This window comes from Homo sapiens, chromosome 1 (genome assembly GCF_000001405.40).
Source record: "Homo sapiens chromosome 1, GRCh38.p14 Primary Assembly".
In the NCBI taxonomy this organism is placed as follows: domain Eukaryota; kingdom Metazoa; phylum Chordata; class Mammalia; order Primates; family Hominidae; genus Homo; species Homo sapiens.
In genome coordinates this window covers 173,222,016-173,241,325 of record NC_000001.11, presented here as the reverse complement: position 1 = coordinate 173,241,325, position 19,310 = coordinate 173,222,016, and the positions used below count along the sequence as shown (strand labels likewise).

General features: G+C 39.2%; 1 protein-coding gene and 1 long non-coding RNA gene across 3 annotated transcripts in view; both read left to right on the top strand.

The window, feature by feature from the left end:
- The window catches only part of LOC100506023 (uncharacterized), a 242,096-nt gene extending 235,830 nt beyond the window's left edge, over window positions 1–6,266 (top strand). The window contains exon 3 of the long non-coding RNA NR_037845.1: window positions 1,303–6,266. This is a non-coding gene — a long non-coding RNA (uncharacterized LOC100506023). The remainder of the gene's footprint in view (window positions 1–1,302) is intronic.
- Window positions 1–19,310, top strand: part of TNFSF4 (TNF superfamily member 4) — a 277,864-nt gene that overhangs the window by 209,408 nt on the left and 49,146 nt on the right. The window lies entirely within an intron of this gene.

The window sequence follows — 19,310 nt, the reverse complement described above, 5'->3', positions numbered from 1 at the left end:
GGAGTTCCAGTAACATTATTGAAATGTGGCAGAGGACAGAGAATAAGGAAATTGGTTTAACAGGCAGCTCAGTATCTTCACTGGGTGTAAACTGATCTTCTGAAACTACATTAATAGTCTCTGGAATGTGTTGGGGTTGGGGAGAGGTTCCTGGTAAGACTAGGCTCCATTCTATTTCACTTTCCCAACAAAGTTTTTTCTTGACTTTTGTAGAAATAGGAAGTATGTGTGTCATAGTGAGGTCTAAATCTAGAAGAGATAGATGGCTAGAAGGTAAAAGAAACTCCTACAAATCAAGAAAACATAGTAAATTCAATAGAAAAAATAGGTAAATGTTGTGGCTAGACAATTGGCAGAAAGAGAAATCCTGATGGTTAGTAAATACTAAAGAGATGCTAAATCTTAATAGTAATCAAGGAAATGCTGTTCAAAATAACAATACTACTTTACACTCATCATTTGGCAAACATGAGAAAGTCAGATAATATCAAGTGCTGGTGAGGATAGGGGACTGGGTTCCTCATGCTCTGCTGGGGACAGTGTGAACAGGTACAGCTATTCTGCAGTGCACCCTGACATAATTTTTGAAATTAAGCATACTTGTACTCATGACTAGCACCTTTGTTACTCATAATATATCCCAGTGAAGTCATCAAGGAAATGTTTATGAGGGTATTCAGCCAAGTGGTAATTGTGATAGCAAAGAATTGGAAGCAAACTAGATGACCACTGATTGCCAAGGCAATATATAAAGTGTGATTGTATGATCAGATTCTCAGTATCAGTTAAAAATAATAATTTAAGTTTACATTTAGCAACATGGATAGACCTCAGAAATATAATATTGAATACAAATAACTTGAGAAACAGGATAGCACTTAGATTTAATTGCTTTTATTTAAATTGAAACTCCAACATGAAACATGCCATATATTTTAAAAATATCTCTAAGTAGATGTTTGAAAGGTGTATTGGAAAGAGAATGTCTATGGAGGGGAAAAGGGAAGTGGGATTGTAGATGGGAAATAAAGATGAAAATATAATAAAGTAAGATACAGCCAACAAGAGGCCCTACCTTGACTGATAATGATAGTGTGCCACAAAGTGGGGTTTTATTTAACTCAATTCTGTGTACTTATTCTTAAGAAATAAAAAAGGTAGGGAGGAAGGAATGAGGAAGGAAAGAAAGAAGGAAGGAAGCTAGTTGTTGAATGTGGGGGCCAGGTAGTAGGAAACTGACTTTTGGAGTTTGACTCAACCACTGAGCCCATTCTCTTTTTTTCTTTTCTTTTTTTGAGACAGAGTCGTGCTCTGTCACCCAGGCTGGAGTACAGTGGCGTGATGTCTGCTTACTGCAGCCTACACCTCCCAGTTCAAGTGATTCTCCTGCCTCAGCCTTCCAAGTAGCTGGGATTACAGGTATTTGCTACCAAACCTGGCTAATTGTTTGTGGTTTTAGTAGAGATGAGATTTCATCATGTTGGCCAGGCTAGTCTCGAACTCCTGGACTCAAGTGATTCGCCTACTTCAGCCTCCCAAAGTGCTGGGATTATAGGTGTGAGCCACTGTGCCCGGTCCCACTGAGCCAATTCTCTTATTGCCACTTTGGACTCCTCCCAGTGAGGACAAATAGACACTGAGGACATCATGATATGCAGAAAGAAACTTGGAGTGCAAGACAAGAGACCTGCACCTTTCTTTCAGCTCCGTTCCAAGCTGCTTGATCACAGACATCTCTTCTGTTAGATGAGGATAACAGGATCTGCTCTACCTGCCCTGGAGGATCTTTGCAAGAATGAAGTTAGGGGGAAAAAAGTGACAGAACATATTGAAAACTTTTCATAAATATCAGATGCCTTATTTGTTGTGACACTATGGGTGGACAGATGATTTCAGTTGAGAGAAGAATTAAGATTCCTATGCCCTGCGTTTAACTGGGTCTTGGTTACCCTGAAAGACTGAGAGAGCAAAACCCAAATATAGAGGGAGTTTTTCTTAACTGTCCTCCCACCATGGCTTATTTGCTTCCTTCTGAAAGTTCAAAATTGATGCTATTAATTTGGGGTGTCAGCAGTTATTAATGGATCCTTGGGCCAGCAGATTTTTGTTCCTGCTCTGGAGGGCAGGCATAACTCTGATGTGAATTGGACGTGTTGAATACTGGAGTGGATTACTGAAAGAAGGAAGAAAGGGAAAGTTGCATTTCTTGAGTGCCAAGAATGGATATTTGAAACTTCATTTAATTATACAGTAGTTCAGTGAGGTAGCAATCACCATCAACATCTTGGAGATAACAGGCTCAGGGAAGCTTAACATGTTCTCAGTGACAGAACATCATACACACAAAGTGGCAGAATTGGAGTTTGAATTAGAATGATGCCAAAGCCAATTATTTTGTTCTCTATCCCCCTGAGGTCTTAGGGCTCATCTAATACCCTTTTTTTGGCCTCTAAAACTTCTCCCTGCATTTTCAGGTGAGAAAACTGAGTTCACTCCACAATGACTGAACTAATCTACACTCCCACCAGCAGTGTATAAGTGTTCCCTTTTCTCTACTACCTCATGAGCATCTGTTATTTTTTGACTTTTTAGTAATAGCCATTCTGACTGGTGTAACATGGGATCTCACTGTGGTTTTGATTTTTATTTCCCTAATGATTAGTAATATTGAGTATTTTTCATGTTTGTTGGCCGCATGTATGTCTTCTTTTGAAAAGTGTCTGTTCATGTCCTTTGCCCACTTTTTAAAGGGGTAGTGTTTTTGCTTGTATGTTTGTTTAAGTTTCTTGTACATTCTGGATATTAGACATTTGTCAGATGTAGAGTTTGCAGATATTTATCTCCCATTCTGTAGGTTGCCTGTTTACTCTGACAGTTTCTTTTGTTGTGAAGAAGCTTGTTAGTTCAAGAGCTTCTTTAGGGTCCCATTTGCCAATTTTTGCTTTATTGCAATTGCTTTTGGCATTTTTGTTGTGAAATCTTTGCCATTTTCTATGTCCAGCATGGTATCACCTAGGTTATCTTCGAGGGTTTTTAAATTTTTAAGTTTTGCATTTAGGTCTTTAATTTATCTTGAGTTGATTTTTCGATATGGTGTAAGGAGATTTTCAATCTTCTGCATATGGCTAGGCTGTTTTCCCAGCACCATTTATTGAATAGGAAATCCTTTTACCATTGCTTGTTTTTGTCACCTTTGTCAAAGATCAGATGGTTGTAGGTGTGTAGCTTTATTTCTGGGCTGTCTATTCTGTTCCATTGTTCTATGTGTCTGTTTTTATACCAGTACCATGCTGTTTCGGTTACTGTAGCCTTGTAGTACAGTTTGAAGTTGGGCAATGTGATTACCCTAGCTTTGTTCTTTTTGTTTAGGATTGCCTTGGCTATTCTGGCTCATTTTTGGTTCCATATGAATTTTAGGATAGTTTTTTCTAGTTCAGTGAAGAATGTCATTGGTAGTTTGATAGGAATAGCATTGAATCTGTAAATTGCTTTGGGCAGTATGGCCATTTTAATGATATTGATTCTTCCTATCAATGAGCATGAAATATTCTTACATTTGTTTGTGTCATTTCTGATTTCTTTGAGCAGAGTTTTGTAATTTTCGTTGTACAGCTCTTTCACTTCCCTGATTAGCTGTATTACTAGGCATTTTATCCTTTTTGTGGCAATTGTGAATGGGATTGCATTCCTGAGTTGACTCTTGGCTTGGATGCTATTAGTGTATAAGAATGCTACTGATTTTTGTACATTGATTTTGTATACCAAAACTTTGCTGAACTTGCTTTTCAGCCCAGGGAGCTTTTGGGCTGAGACTATGGGATTTTCTAGATATAGAATCATGTCATCTGCAAGCATGGATAGTTTGACTTCCTCTCTTCCTATTTGCATGCCTTTTGTTTCTTTCTCTTGCCTGATTGCTCTGGCCTGGCTCCTATTATTTTAAAGTATGTTCCTTGGACGTTGAATTTTATCAAAAGCCTTTTCTTCATCTATTGAGATAATCATGTAGTTTTTGTCTTTAGTTCTGTTTATGTGATGATTCACATTTATTGATTTGCATATTGTATTAGTCTGTTCTCACGCTGCTAATAAAGACACACCAGAGACTGGATAATTTATAAAAGAGAGGTTTAATGGACGCACAATTCCACATGGCTGGGGCAGTCTCACAGTCATGGTGGAAAGCAAAGGAGAAAGAAAGGCACATATTACATGACAGCAGGCAAGACAGCTTGTGCAAGACAACTCCCGTTTATAAAACCATCAACTCTCATGAGACTTATTTACTACCATGAGAACAATATGGGGGAAATCACCCCTATGATTCAATTATCTCCATCTGGCTCTACCCTTGACATGTGGGGATTATTACAATTCAAGGTGAGATTTTGGTGGGGGGACACAACCCAACCATATCATGTATGTTGAATGAACCTTGCATCCAAGTGATATCAAACCTCTTCCTAATTCCCTTTTCCTCCTACCCTTCCCAGTCTCTAATATCCTCCATTCATTCTATTTTGTACTCCTGTGAGATCAACTTTTTTTTAGCTTCCACATATGGGTAAAAATATCTGGTGTTTAGTTTTTTGTTCCTGGCTAGTTTCACTTAATATTATGTCCTCCTGTTCCATCCATGGTGCTGTGAATGGCAGGATTTTATTGGTTTTATGGCTAGATAATAGCCCAGTGTGTATATATACCATATTTTCTCCATCCATTCATCTGCTGTTGGAGACCTAGATTGATTCCATATTTTGGCTATTGTGACTAAACAATAAACATGGGGTTGCTACAATAAACATGGGGGTATACATGCAAAACATTTCTTAACATCTTTTTTTCTAACTCTTCTACCCCTTATTTTATCACCAAACCCTGCACTATCTCCTGTTTTTTTTTTTTTTTTGAAATAACTGGTGCTTGCTTTACAGGAAGCCCCAGAAAACACTGTGCCTTGGAATTCCTAGGCACTTAACTTACAAATATAATGGAACCAAGGATCAGAAGCTGGATTTGAAGACATTGCAAGGAAGGTGTTTCCTAGAGTAATCTATAGATGGAATTGATTCTGTAGAAAGGTGATAAACCCTGACCATTGAGTGTTGAAGCTAAGATGAGGAGACTACTGGTAGAAATATTCAAAAGTAACTAAAACACATAGGTGCTGGGGATGGATGGTTAGTCAGATTATTGACTCTCATGGCTTGTAATTAGTTTGTGATCTGAATTTAAATTACTTAGGAAAGGAATGGCTTTTCAGCAGAAAAATATATGCATCAATAGCACCTACCAGTCCCAACAAATGATTCTATATATTTTTTTAAGTTGGTGAATTTTATTATATTTTGCCACAATTAAAAATAAAAAATAATTTGAAGGGAAATGATTTTAACAAATAAAATAAATGGAGTGGAAGGAAATATGGAGGGTTAGTAATCAACAGGCATTAAGTCCAGCAAGATGAATAAGCTCTAGAGATCTGCTGAACGACATGGTACTTATAGTCAACAATAATTTATTGTACACTTAAAAATTTGTTGAGATCTCACGTTGTGTTCTTGCCACAATACAGTAAAATAAAAATAAGTTTTACACATTTTTTAAAAGGTTATACACCTCATAAAAGTGATAGAGAAGGAGACAGCCAAATGCTGCCCAGGCCATTGTGCACATTGAGCTTATCTAAACATGCCCACAGTGAAAAATTCTGTCCCTTAACACATGCGTAGTATGTGTAGACAAGCTCCTTGGGTTTTCCTACTTTACTGTGCATTACAACTCATGTGTCAAGTTCAAAGACATTCTGTCCCTGAACACATGCATAGTAAGGGAAATAAATCAATATGGAGTGGCTCAGACTAAGGGCCCACCTGTGCACTGGGACAATGGGGTGGACCCACCTGGAATCCACGCCTTATAAATTGGGGAGAAGCCTGGCCTTTTCAGCTCATGTGTGGTGGCCTGGTATTCAATCTGTGAGGTGGAAGCCTGTTGAAAGGTCCCCCTTTTTTCTCTGAGAGCTTTCTTTTAATTCTGCTCTCTCCACCTTTCAATGTGTCCACGTACCTAATTTTTCCTGGTTGTGACACAAGAACCAGATTTTAGCTGAACTAAAGAGCAAAAAATCCTGCATCAAAAGGAGAGCCAAGACTCAAAAAGAGAAACAGTCTTTCGAATTTTTCATTGATTTTAATTCAGTGACTTCTCTGAACAATAAAGTTGCAACTTATTTGAATAAAAACACTCAAAATAAAGGGAACACTAAAACTTACAATTGAATGTGTCATTTGCCTGATTATAGGTCTTTGGGAATCTGCAAGGTAACCTTTATTCCTGCAAGATATAGATCTTAGCTTTTCTTTTTTTAAATTATTATTATTATACTTTAAGTTCTAGGGTCCACGTGCACACAACGTGCAGGTTTGTTACATATGTACACATGTGCCATGTTGGTGTGCTGCACCCATTAACTCGTCGTTTACATTGGGTATATCTCCTAATGCTATCCCTCCCCACTCCCTCCACCCCACGACAGGCCCCGGTGTGTGATGTTCCCCTTCCTGTGTCCAAGTGTTCTCATTGTTCAATTCCCACCTATGAGTGAGAACATGCAGTGTTTGGTTTTCTGTCCTTGCGATAGTTTCCTGAGAATGATGGTTTCCAGCTTCATCCATGTCCTACAAAGGACACTAACTCATCCTTTTTTATGGCTGCATAGTATTCCATGGGGTATATGTGCCACATTTTCTTAATCCACTCTATCACTGATGGACATTTGGGTTGGTTCCAAGTCTTTGCTATTGTGAATAGTGCTGCAATAAACATACATGTGCATGTGTCCTTATAGCAGCATGATTTATAATCCTTTGGGTATATACCCAGTAATGGGATGGCTGGGTAAAATGGTATTTCTAATTCTAGATCCTTGAGGAATCACAATGTCTTCCACAATGGTTGAACTAGTTTACAGTCCCACCAACAGTGTAAGAGTGTTCCTATTTCTCCACACCCTCTCCAGCACCTGTTGTTTCCTGCCTTTTTAATGATCACCATCCTAACTGGTGTGAGATCGTATCTCATTGTGGTTTTGATTTGCACTTCTCTGATGGCCAGTGATGATGAGCATTTTTTCATGTGCCTGTTGGCTGCATAAATGTCTTCTTTTGAGAAGTTTCTGTTCATATCCTTCGCCAACTTTTTGATGGGGTTGTTTGATTTTCTCTTGTAAATTTGTTTGAGTTCTTTGTAGATTCTGGATATTAGCCCTTTGTCAGATGAGTAGATTGCAAAAATTTTCTCCCATTCTGTAGGTTGCCTGTTCACTCTGATGGTGGTTTCTTTTGCTGTGCAGAAGCTCTTTAGTTTAATTAGATCCCATTTGTCAATTTTGGCTTTTGTTGCCATTGCTTTTAGTGTTTTAGACATGAAGTCCTTGCCCATGCCTATGTCCTGAATGGTATTGCCTAGGTTTTCTTCTAGGGTTTTTATGGTTTTAGGTCTAACATGTAAGTCTTTAATCCATCTTGAATTAATTTTTTTATAAGGTGTAAGGAAGGGATCTAGTTTCAGCCAAGACTCAAAAAAAGAAATAGTCTTTCGAATTTTTCATTGATTTTAATTCAGCGACTATTTCCCTGAGCAATAAAGTTGCAACTTATGTGAATAAAAACACTCAAAATAAAGGGAACACTAAAACTTACAATTGAATGCATCATTTGCCTGATTATACATCTTTGAGAATCTGCAAGGTAACCTTTATTCCTGCAAGGTATAGATTTTAGCTTTGGTGAATCTGACAATTATGTGTCTTGGAGTTGCTTTTCTCGAGGAGTATCTTTGTGGCATTCTCTGTATTTCCCGAATTTGAATGTTGGCCTGCCTTGCTAGGTTGGGGAAGTTCTCCTGGATAATATCCTGAAGAGTGTTTTCCAACTTGGTTCCATTCTCCCAGTCACTTTCAGGTACACCAATCAGACGTAGATTTGGTCTTTTCACATAGTCCCATATTTCTTGGAGGCTTTGTTCATTTCTTTTTACTGTTTTTTCTCTAAACTTCTCTTCTTGCTTCATTTCATTCATTTGATCTTTAGTCACTGATCGCCTTTCTTCCAGTTGATCGAATCAGCTACTGAAGCTTGTGCATGTGTCATGTAGTTCTCGTGCCATGGTTTTCACCTCCATCAGGTCATTTAAGGTCTTCTCTACACTGGTTATTCAGTTAGCCATTTGTCCAATCTTTTTCTCAAGGTTTTTAGCTTCTTTGCAATGGGTTCGAACATCTTCCTTTAGCTCGGAGAAGTTTGATCATCTGAAGCCTTCTTCTCTCAACTCGTCAAAGTCATTCTCCGTCCAGCTTTGTTCCATTGCTGGTGAGGAGCTGTGTTCCTCAGTTGGAAATTTTAGACCAATATCCCTGATGAACATTGATGCAAAAATCCTCAATAAAATACTGGCAAAACAAATCCAGCAGCACAACAAAGAGCTTATCCACCATGATCAAGTGGGCCTCATCCCTGGGATGCAAGGCTGGTTCAACATACACAAATCAATAAATGTAATCCAGCATATAAACAGAACCAAAGACAAAAACCACATGATTATCTCAATAGATGCAGAAAAGGCCTTCGACAAAATCCAACAGCCCTTCATGCTAAAAACTCTCAATAAATTAGGTATTGATGGAACGTATCTCAAAATAATAATAGCTATCTATGGCAAACCCACAGCCAATATCATACTGAATGGGCAAAAACTGGAAGCATTCCCTTTGAAAACTGGCACAAGACAGGGATGCCCTCTCTCACCACTGCTATTCAACATGGTGTTGGAAATTCTGGCTTGGGCAATCAGGCAGGAGAAAGAAATAAAGGGTATTCAATTAGGAAAAGAGGAAGTCAAATTGTCCCTGTTTGCAGATGACATGATTGTATATTTAGAAAATCCCATTGTCTCAGCCCAAAATCTACTTAAGCTGATAACCAACTTCAGCAAAGTCTCAGGATACAAAATCAATGTACAAAAATCACAAGCATTCTTATACACCAATAACAGACAATCAGAGAGCCAAATCATGAGTGAACTCCCATTCACAATTGCTTCAAAGAGAATAAAATACCTAGGAATCCAACTTACAAGGGACACGAAGGACCTCTTCTAGGAGAACTACAAACCACTGCTCAACGAAGTAAAAGAGGACACAAGCAAACGGAAGAACATTCCATCCTCATGGATAGGAAGAATTAATATCATGAAAATGGCCATACTGCCCAGGGTAATTTATAGATTCAATGCCATCCCCATCAAGCTACCAATGACTTTCTTCACAGAATTGGAAAAAACTACTTTAAAGTTCATATGGAACCAAAAAAGAGCCCACATCGCCCAGTCAATCCTAAGCCAAAAGAACAAAGCTGGAGGCATCACACTATAAAGTACTTTATTTTATTCTCTTTGAAGCAATTGTGAATGGGAGTTCACTCATGATTTGGCTCTCTGATTGTCTGTTATTGGTGTATAAGAATGCTTGTGATTTTTGTACATTGATATTGTGTCCTGAGACTTTGCTGAATTTGCTTATCAGCCTAAGTAGATTTTGGGCTGAGATGATGGGGTTTTCTAAATATACAATCATGTCATCGGCAAAGAGGGACAATTTGACTTCCTCTTTTCCTAATAAATATTCCAAATAAATAAAATTCCTTTTATTTATTTGTCCTGCCTTATTGCCCAAGCCAGGACTTCCAACACTACGTTGAATAGGAGTGGTGAGAGAGGGCATCCCTGTCTTGTGCCACTTTTCAAAGGAAATGCTTCCAGTTTTTGCCCATTCAGTATGATATTGACTGTGGGTTTGTCATAAATAGCTATTATTATTTTGAGATACATTCCATCAATACCTAATTTATTGAGAGTTTTTAGCATGAAGGGCTATTGAATTTTGTCAAAGGCCTTTTCTGCATCTATTGAGATAATCATGTGGTTTTTGCCTTTGGTTCTGTTTATATGCTGGAATATGTTTATTGATTTGTGTATGTTGAACCAGCCTTGCATCCCAGGGGTGAAGCCCACTTGATCATGGTGGATAAGCTCTTTGATATGCTGCTGGATTCGGTTTGCCAGTAATTTACTGAGGATTTCTGCATCGATGTTCATCAGGGATATTGGTCTAAAATTCTCTTTTTTTGTTGTGTCTCTGCCAAGCTTTGGTATCAGGATGATGCTGGCCTCATAAAGTGAGTTAGGGAGGATTCCCTCTTTTTCTATTGACTGGAATAGTTTTAGAAGGAATGGTACCAGCTCATCCTTGTACCTCTGGTAGAATTCAGCTGTGAATCCATCTGGTGCTGGGCTTTTTTTGGTTGGTAGGCTATTGATTATTGCCTCAATTTCAGAGCCTGTTATAGGTCCATTCAGGGATTCAACTTCTTCCTGGTTTAGTCTTTGGAGGGTGTATGTGTCCAGGAATTTATCCATTTCTTCTAGATTTTCTAGTTTATTTGCGTAGAGGTGTCTAGTATTTAGGTATTTTATAGTATTCTCTGAAGGTAGTTTGTATTTCTGTGGGATTGGTGGTGATGTCCCCTTTATCATTTTTTATTGTGTCTATTTGATTCTTCTCTCTTTTCTTCTTTATTAGTCTTGCTAGTGGTCTGTCAATTTTGTTGATCTTTTCAAAAAACCAGCTCCTAGATTCATTGATTTTTTTGAAGGGTGTTGTGTCTCTATCTCCTTCAATGCTGCTCTGATCTTAGTTATTTCTTGTCTTCTGCTAGCTTTTGAATGTGTTTGCTCTTGCTTCTCTAGTTCTTTTAATTGTGATGTTAGGGTGTCAATTTTAGATCTTTCCTGCTTTCTCTTGTGAGCATTTAGTGCTATAAATTTCCCTCTACACACTGCTTTGAATGTGTCCCAGAGATTCTGGTATGTTGTGTCTTTGTTCTCATTGGTTTCAAAGAACATCTTTATTTCTGCCTTCATTTTGTTATGTACCCAGTAGTCATTCAGGAGCAGGTTGTTCAGTTTACATGTAGTTGAGCTGTTTTGAGTGAGTTTCTTAATCCTGAGTTCTAATTTGATTGCACTGTGGTCTGAGAGACTGTTATAATTTCTGTTCTTTTACATTTGCTGAGGAGTGCTTTACTTCCAACTACGTGGTCAATTTTGGAATAAGTGTGGTGTGGTGCTGAGAAGAATGTGCATTCTGTTGATTTGGGGTGGAGAGTTCTGTAGATGTCTATTGGGTCTTCTTGGTGCAGAGCTGATTTCAATTCGTGGATATCCTTGTCAACTTTCTGTCTTGTTGACCTGTCTAATGTTGACAGTGGGGTGTTAACGTCTCCCATTATTATTGTTTGGGAGTCTAAGTCTCTTTGTAGGTCTCTAAGGACTTGCTTTATGAATCTGGGTGGTCCTGTATTGGGTGCATATATATTTAAGATAGTTAGCTCTTCTTGTTGAATTGATCCCTTTACCATTATGCAATGGCCTTCTTTGTCTCTTTTGATCTTTGTCGGTTTAAAGTCTGTTGTATCAGAGACTAGGATTGCAACCCCTGCCTTTTTTTGTTTTCCATTTGCTTGGTAGATCTTCCTCCATCCCTTTATTTTGAACCTATGTGTGTCTCTGCATGTGAGATGGGTCTCCTGAATACAGCACACTGATGGGTCTTGACTCTTTATCCAATTTGCCAGTCTGTGTCTTTTAATTGGAGCATTTAGCCCATTTACATTTAAGGTTAATATTGTTATGTGTGGATTTGATCCTGTCACTATGATGTTAGCTGGTTATTTTGCTCATTAGTTGATGTGATTTCTTCCTAGCATCGATGGTCTTTACAATTTGGCATGTTTTTGCAGTGTCTGGTACTGGTTGTTCCTTTCCATGTTTAGTGCTTCCTTCAGGAGCTCTTTTCGGGCAGGCCTGGTTCTGACAAAATCTCTCAGCACTTGCTTGTCTGTAAAGGATTTTATTTCTCCTTCACTTATGAAGCTTAGTTTGGCTGGATATGAAATTCTGGGTTGAAAATTCCTTTCTTTAAGAATGTTGAATATTGGCCCCCACTCTCTTCTGGCTTGTATTGTTTCTGCTGAGAGATCCGCTGTTAGTCTGATGGGCTTCCCTTTGTGGGTAACTTGACCTTTCTTTGTCTTGCTGCCCTTAACATTTTTTCCTTCATTTCAACCTTGGTGAATCTGACAATTATGTGTCTTAGGGTTGCTCTTCTTGAGGAGTATCTTTGCGGTGTTCTCTGTATTTCCTGAATTTGATTGTTGGTCTGCCTTGCTAGGTGTGGGAATTTCTCCTGGATAATATTCTGCAGAGTGTTTCCCAACTTGGTTCCATTCTCCCCGTCACTTTCAGGTACACCAGTCAGACATAGATTTGGTCTCTTCACATAGTCCCATATTTCTTGGAGTCCTTGTTCATTTCTTTTTACTCTTTTTTCTCTAAACTTCTCTTCCTGCTTCATTTCATTCATTTGATCTTCAATCACTGATCCCCTTTCTTCCAGTTGATTGAATCAGCTACTGAAGCTTGCACATTCGTCACTTAGTTTCTTTGCCATGGTTTTTAGCTCCATCAGGTCATTTAAGGATTTCTCTACACTGGTTATTCTAGTTTGCCATTCATCTAATCTTTTTTCAAGGTTTTTAAGCTTCTTTGCGATGGGTTCAAAATTCCTCCTTTAGCTCGGAGAAATTTGATCATCTGAAGCCTTCTTCTCTCAACTTGTCAAAGTCATTCTCCGTCCAGCTTTGTTCCATTGCTGGCGAGGAGCTGTGTTCCTTTGGAGGGGGGAGAGGCGCTCTGATTTTTAGAATTTTCAGCTTTTCTGTTCTGTTTTGTCCCCATCTCTGTGGTTTTATCTACCTTTGGTCTTTGATGATGGTGACGTATAGATGGGGTTTTGGTGTGGATGTCCTTTCTGTTTGTTAGTTTTCTTTCTAACAGTCAGGACCCTCAGCTGCAGGTCTGTTGGAGTTTGCTGGAGGTCCACTCCAGACCCTCTTTGCCTGGGTATCACCAGCAGAGGCTGCAGAACAGCGAATATTGCTGAACAGCAAATGTTGCTGCCTGATCATTCCTCTGGAAGCTTTGTCTCAGAGGGGTACCCAGCTGTGTGAGGTGCCAGTCTGCTCCTACTCGGGGGTGCCTCCCAGTTAGGCTACTCATGGGTCAGGGACCCACTTGAGGAGGCAGTCTATCTGTTCTCAGATCTCAAACTCCATGCTGGAACAACCACTACTCCTCTTCAAACAGGGACATTTAATTCTGCAGAGGTTTCTGCTGCCTCCTGTTTGGCTATGCCCCGCCCCCAGAGGTGGAGTCTACAGATGCAGGCAGGCCTCCTTGAGCTGCAGTGGTCTCCACCCAGTTTGAGCTTCCCAGTCACTTTGTTTACCTACTCAAGCCTAAGCAATGGTGGGCGCCCCTCCCCCAGCCTCGCTGCCACCTTGCAGTTTGATCTCAGACTGCTGTGCTAGTAATTAGCAAGGCTCTGTGGGGGTGGGACCCTCCAAGCCATGCGTGGGATATAATCTCCTGGTGTGCCGTTTGCTAAGACCATTGGAAAAGCACAGTATTAGGGTGGGAGTGACCCGATTTTCCAGGTGCCATCTGTCACAGCTTCCCTTGGGTAGGAAAGGAAATTCCCTGACCCCTTGTGCTTCCCGGGTGAGGCGATGCCTCGCCCTGCTTTGGCTCACGTTTGCTGGGCTGCACCCACTGCTCTGCACCCACTGTGCTGCACCCACTGTCTGACAAGCCCCAGTGAGATAAACCCAGTACCTCAGTTGGAAATGCAGAAATCACCTGTCTTCTGCATCACTCATGCTGGGAGCTGTAGACTGGAGCTGTTCCTATTTGGCCAACTTGGAACCGCCCCTACCGTGATAATTTATAACTAGACCAGTCTTCTCAGGGATTTGAGGATGAATGGAAAGTCTGAGATGCAAGAAGAAATGGTGATCAAATATATAATCAAATATAAGTAAACACTGACAATATAAAATAACAATAATTATAATGCTTAATTGGTGGAAAAAATCAAAATAAGATAGAACCAAAATACTATGCAGCTAAAATATCTAAATTCAGGGAGTGGCATTAATTAGATTTAAACATTCTAATGTCTTTATAGTGTTTGAGAGAAGGGTAAAAATATTTATGAAATTTAAAGCTTGTTAAGTATTCCTGAAAAAAAAAAAAAACAAAAGAATAGACTAGATGTTCCATTTCCTGAACACCTCTTGAATTTTTCTCAAGTATCATGAGAACTTAAGTTGTATTATCCAAGTCCTTGCAGTTAGGTCATAAAGGGAAGCAAAAGTTCTCACAATATAAAATATTCATTAATGAACTGGCTAATAATGAAATTAGTTCTCATATAAGCATACTTCCCCTTTTCTCTATATCCATGATTGTAAACATTTGAATGCAAAGTAAATTAAGTAATAAGTAAAGCTGCAAATCTTGTAAGAGAGTCAAGATATCAAAAATTCAGTGAAAGTAAAATTAGAGAAATACTTAAATTGCACTTAAAGCTTTTGAAAAAGGAGTCTCTGGCAGAGTCAGTTCAGTTAACAGCTGAAGAAGAGTGAATTAGTCGAGATGATAGCATGACTAGATGACTCAAAGGAGAATGATTTTGAAACATAAAGATTAAGAGAGCCCTTGAGAAAACTGATGAATCTTTAATTGTCTCTCTAACTGTATTAATTATGGGAAAAGCTAAGGTGCTGAAAAAGTGACACCCAAATACAGTGATTTAAAGATGAAAGAAGTTTATATCTCATGTAACCATCTAGCTCTTTGAGGTCAATCATGGGTCCACATTCCCTATATCTCTAATTTCTCATAGGGAGAGATGCTCATTTGCATAGTCAAAGCTGGATCATATGGCATATTCATGTTTTAGTACAAAAAAAGGGAAAAGAGAGAAAGCCCAGGGCAAGCAATTTCCTTTTGAACAAGTAAGATAGAAGGTGTGTACATATCACATCCCCCCACATTCCACTGGAGAGATATAAATCATGTGGCCATACCCAACTGCCAGTAAATCTGGGAAATGTCTCTAGCTGGATGACAAAGGGCCTAAGAATAAGGGGAGAATGGATTTTGGGGGAAAACTGATAATCTGTTTCATAAACATTTATGCAAAAAATTATTGTGTGATCATAGTCTGAAAAAACATGAAGGATGATGTACATATAATTAGGTCTGATAAATTATGCCTACCCAAATAAATACCTGATTCATTCTTTAACTTAAAAGAGATCACATATCAATACTCACATTTTATAAATTCAGATAAAATGAATTTATTTTTAAAAATGAATAAAACACAGTGAGAGTTTACTAGGTTATGAGGTGCTTAATAGCCTGTTTTATATTTTCTAGTAGGATGATTAGAAAAATTCTTATTTCTCCTTCATATCTGTAGTTGGTATGATTCTCCATCCACAGTCTCTGTGTTCAAGAATTTTAACCAACCTAATTTTTGTCTTTCTATTTCTGTTTTTCACCATCATGTATTTTGGTCTGAGATATAGCAATTTAATTTCAATTCATGGTTCCTCTTTTTACTCTGGTTGCACCTAAGTTCTGGGGCTTTACATAGCATCCAGGAATTATTAAGGGAAGCTAGTCCTCAGTATTATCTGTCTAACCTAGCATTTGCTGAGATAGTCATCTGTCATTTGGGCCTAATTCATTCAGAGAATACTTAAAACACCGACATATGCCAGGTACTGAAAATAGTGTTGGTCAAGAGAAACACTTTAGTCCCTTTTCTTATGAAAGATAGTGTTTAGTAAATTTTGGTGCATTGCAAAAAATTCTGGACCAAGGGCAAAGCCAAGCATACACACGTGTAGAGAAAGGGGTCATTTAAAAAGTTTGTCCCAAAATGAGGAGAAGAAAGTTAATGATCAAATGAAAATTTGTGGATTATTTATGATTTTCCATTTTCAATGACTTTTCCATTCCACCATAACCTATGAAAATTGAGAATTGGTGATGTTTAGAAGTCAGGAAAGACTTAGAGAAGATAAGGATGAGTGAGAAAGTGTGACTTCCCTTTCTCCTGGGTAATTCCTCTTTTAGTGTTAGGGTGCCTGGAGAAGGTCTTCTGTAAACATTCAAACTAATCCAGTAGTATTTAACCAACCTCTTTCTTACCACATAACCTTCACTTCCTGGTTGCTGTGGATAACAAGGGGAGTATGAGACACAGTTCTGAAAGTTGGTTAAAGTCTCTATACCAAGAAAAATTATAGCCAGGACAGGCAGGAAACAGAACTACACTAATAAAAAAGCACTGTGGCAGAAATAAAGCCTATTTTGGATTGCAGAGAGGAAGGGGAGATGATTACCAGATGGGAGAATGGTGTAGTCAATTAATTGCAAAGGTGTGGCAAAAAACATGGTGGACAGAGGGTCTAGGTGGAGGGAGGACAGGCTTGACTGGAGCTAAGGTTTGGGTAGAAAGTGTGATTCTGTGGCCATGCTCTCTCTTCATCTGCTCATGCTGTGTAGCATTGCAAGCCTACTCCCATGCCCCCAGTTTAATTGCATTACTCTTCACTATAGCTTAGGGAGTGGGAGCACTGGCTGTGTAGCCAGACAGACCTGAGTTTGTCTTACTCAGTGTCTAACCACTGCTTACTAGTGTCTAACCTCAGGGAAGTTACTTAACCTCTCTGAACCTGATTTTCCTTACTGCGTTGCATGTTTCTGACAGTTTAATGAGTTACCACATGCAGTGCTCAGCAAGAGTTTTCAAAGCCCTCAATAAGAGCAGTACCATAATTACGGCCTACCAATGAGGGGTTGAGTGCTGGGACCAGGATGGTAGCATGAGGCATAAAAAAATAAGTGTTTTCGTTTCAGACAGTCATGAGTGTTCACATTCCAGCTGCATCACTTCCCTTCTAATTCCCACTCTGCAGGGATTAAATTAGATCATGAATATACAGTATTCCACACAGGGCTGGAGTACCAGTGAGTGCTTTTAGAAAATGTTTGTTTCCTTCCTCATCACTTACCCACACTCGTTTATTTCTTTATTCCTGAGCGTACATCTAGTCTTCTAGTTTTGTGTTTGTGCATGGAATAGGGCAATGGACACTTACTAGGATGTCTGGATAGTTCTGATGTAACCTGTTGGCACAGCTTTGTTATGATCTTCCCTTTCTGAAAATGTCCTATGTTTGGACAATAAATTACCCTAGTGCTGCTTAGGGCCTTTTACTCTCTAGTCTAGTGGGTCTGGTGTGATCCTAGGCTTCCTTTTCTGAGGAGGAAATCACCTGGGGGCTTTGGGCTAGAGCATGTCCTTGCAGCGTTACTGCTGAGTTGACAGGCATCCCCTAGGCAACCCCCCGGGTGTATGTCTTCTTCATCATCTGGGGGTCCCCAGGATTAACTGTCCCACGTTCTGCTTTCGGCCACCACCCATTCTTTCCCCTGGGGTTTCTCTCCTTTGCCTGGAGCTCTTGCTGGAACAAGATACGAGGCGTGATAGAGTTTCCCCCACCCCCTTCTTTCCTACTCGTTTGAATTGTACAAAACAATACACTCTTTTTCTGGTTGTGTAGGTTTCTAAGATATGTCTAGGAAAAGGAAGACAGGGCAACAAAGTAATACACAAGGAAAAGTTCCAACTCTTTATGACATTAAAAGTTATCCTAACCTTCGTAGGCATTTGAATAGAACTAGAGTTGGTCTTTCTTGGCCCTCTTCACTGATTCGTCTCTTCCAGTGAACTTCTGAAATCCACCTTTACCTGATTGTCTTTTCCCTCTATTTTTATTCTTGGGACTTTATGCAATGGTTTCCCTCACTATTTTCTTTAGCTTATTTTTTTTGGGGGGGCGGGTGGACTTAGGTACTCAATAAATATTCTTTTCTAGAGTGGTGGTAAGCAATAGAAATGAATTGAAATGGAACAAAGTTGTGACTGAGAATTTTAAGGAAATGTTCATTGCTACCAGAAAGAAACCCTGGTCCAGCCAGAATGAAACTCCAGATAATAATATAACAAGTGTAAATGCTTGTTAAAAGCTGTATGCCAGGTACTTTACATGCATTATCTCATCCTCTCACAGCAACCCTGTGAATTGAGGTACTAGTTACAGTCATTACACTCTTTCCCACATTTATTAATAAGAAAATTAAGGCTTAAAAAAGTTAGATAATTTGCCCAGTTACTTCCATAATTCTTCCATTATGGCTGAAAAGCTTGAGGCAAGCTGGGATTCAGATTCAGCCAGCCTGTCTCCAAAGCTCTTGCTCTTAACCATTACATTAGACTGTCTCCCCAGACTGCAGGAACCAGAGACTCCACCCAGAGGTGTAGCCCTGCTTGAACTGGAGAAAGCCTTGTCAAGGATGGGCCTTTGTCTGGGGTAAGAGTGGGCCCTATATTACTGAAAAGAGGCATTACAATTTGATGATTCATTTCTACATGTCTCACCATGGTCTTGCTTTTACCCCACTTCCTCTGATAGCTTTTTGTACCAGTTTTAACGATCATATTTTCATTTCACCTTTAATAGCTATTAAAAAGACACCATTATGGTGACTAATCAGAAGGATCACCCTCCTTCCAACCTTAGTGGGCACTCATTTTTCATTGTAGTTCATTCTTGCCAAAGTATGTACTGTGACAGAGGAGAGACCATATCACAAAGGTATTCATATGTTAGGATGTACTTTGCTTGATGGAAGAGGCTGCTGCACCTATGAGGGCCCAGGGAAGGAAATTTGTATGCATTTAACCTAAAACCTCTAAATCTTGCTAATTTTAAACCAGTCCTTCCTCTGAGGTCAGTCTTGGGGAAATGCTCTTGAATACTCCCAACCTTTGGCCTTCCAGTATCAAGATCTCAATTGCCTGATTGTATCGTGTGTGGTTATTTTTCTTTATTGATGCAACTAACTTTCCCTGATTAAGGTTGGGACTTTTTCCCTTTGTCATTTCAGACCGTTTTGGTGAAGTTTTCATATCTTGTCTTTTGCCTCAAATGTTTCCTTTACTTAGTCAGGCTTTATTTTAGGTTTCATTTAGTACTCCCTACCCACCCACCCATGGGAGAGTACCCATTATAGGAGACCAAGGTTTTCATTCTGATCTGTAGTCAAAATAATAAGAAGTAAGACAAGGACCACACACTGGTGATCTATTGGAGGGAGAAAATATACCTCCTTGATGAGTTCTTTTAGTTGGAGTAAATCCAGGATTATAATGCTACTGTAGCTTTGGAGATGACTGACTATAAGAATAGCTAATATTTATTGAACACTTA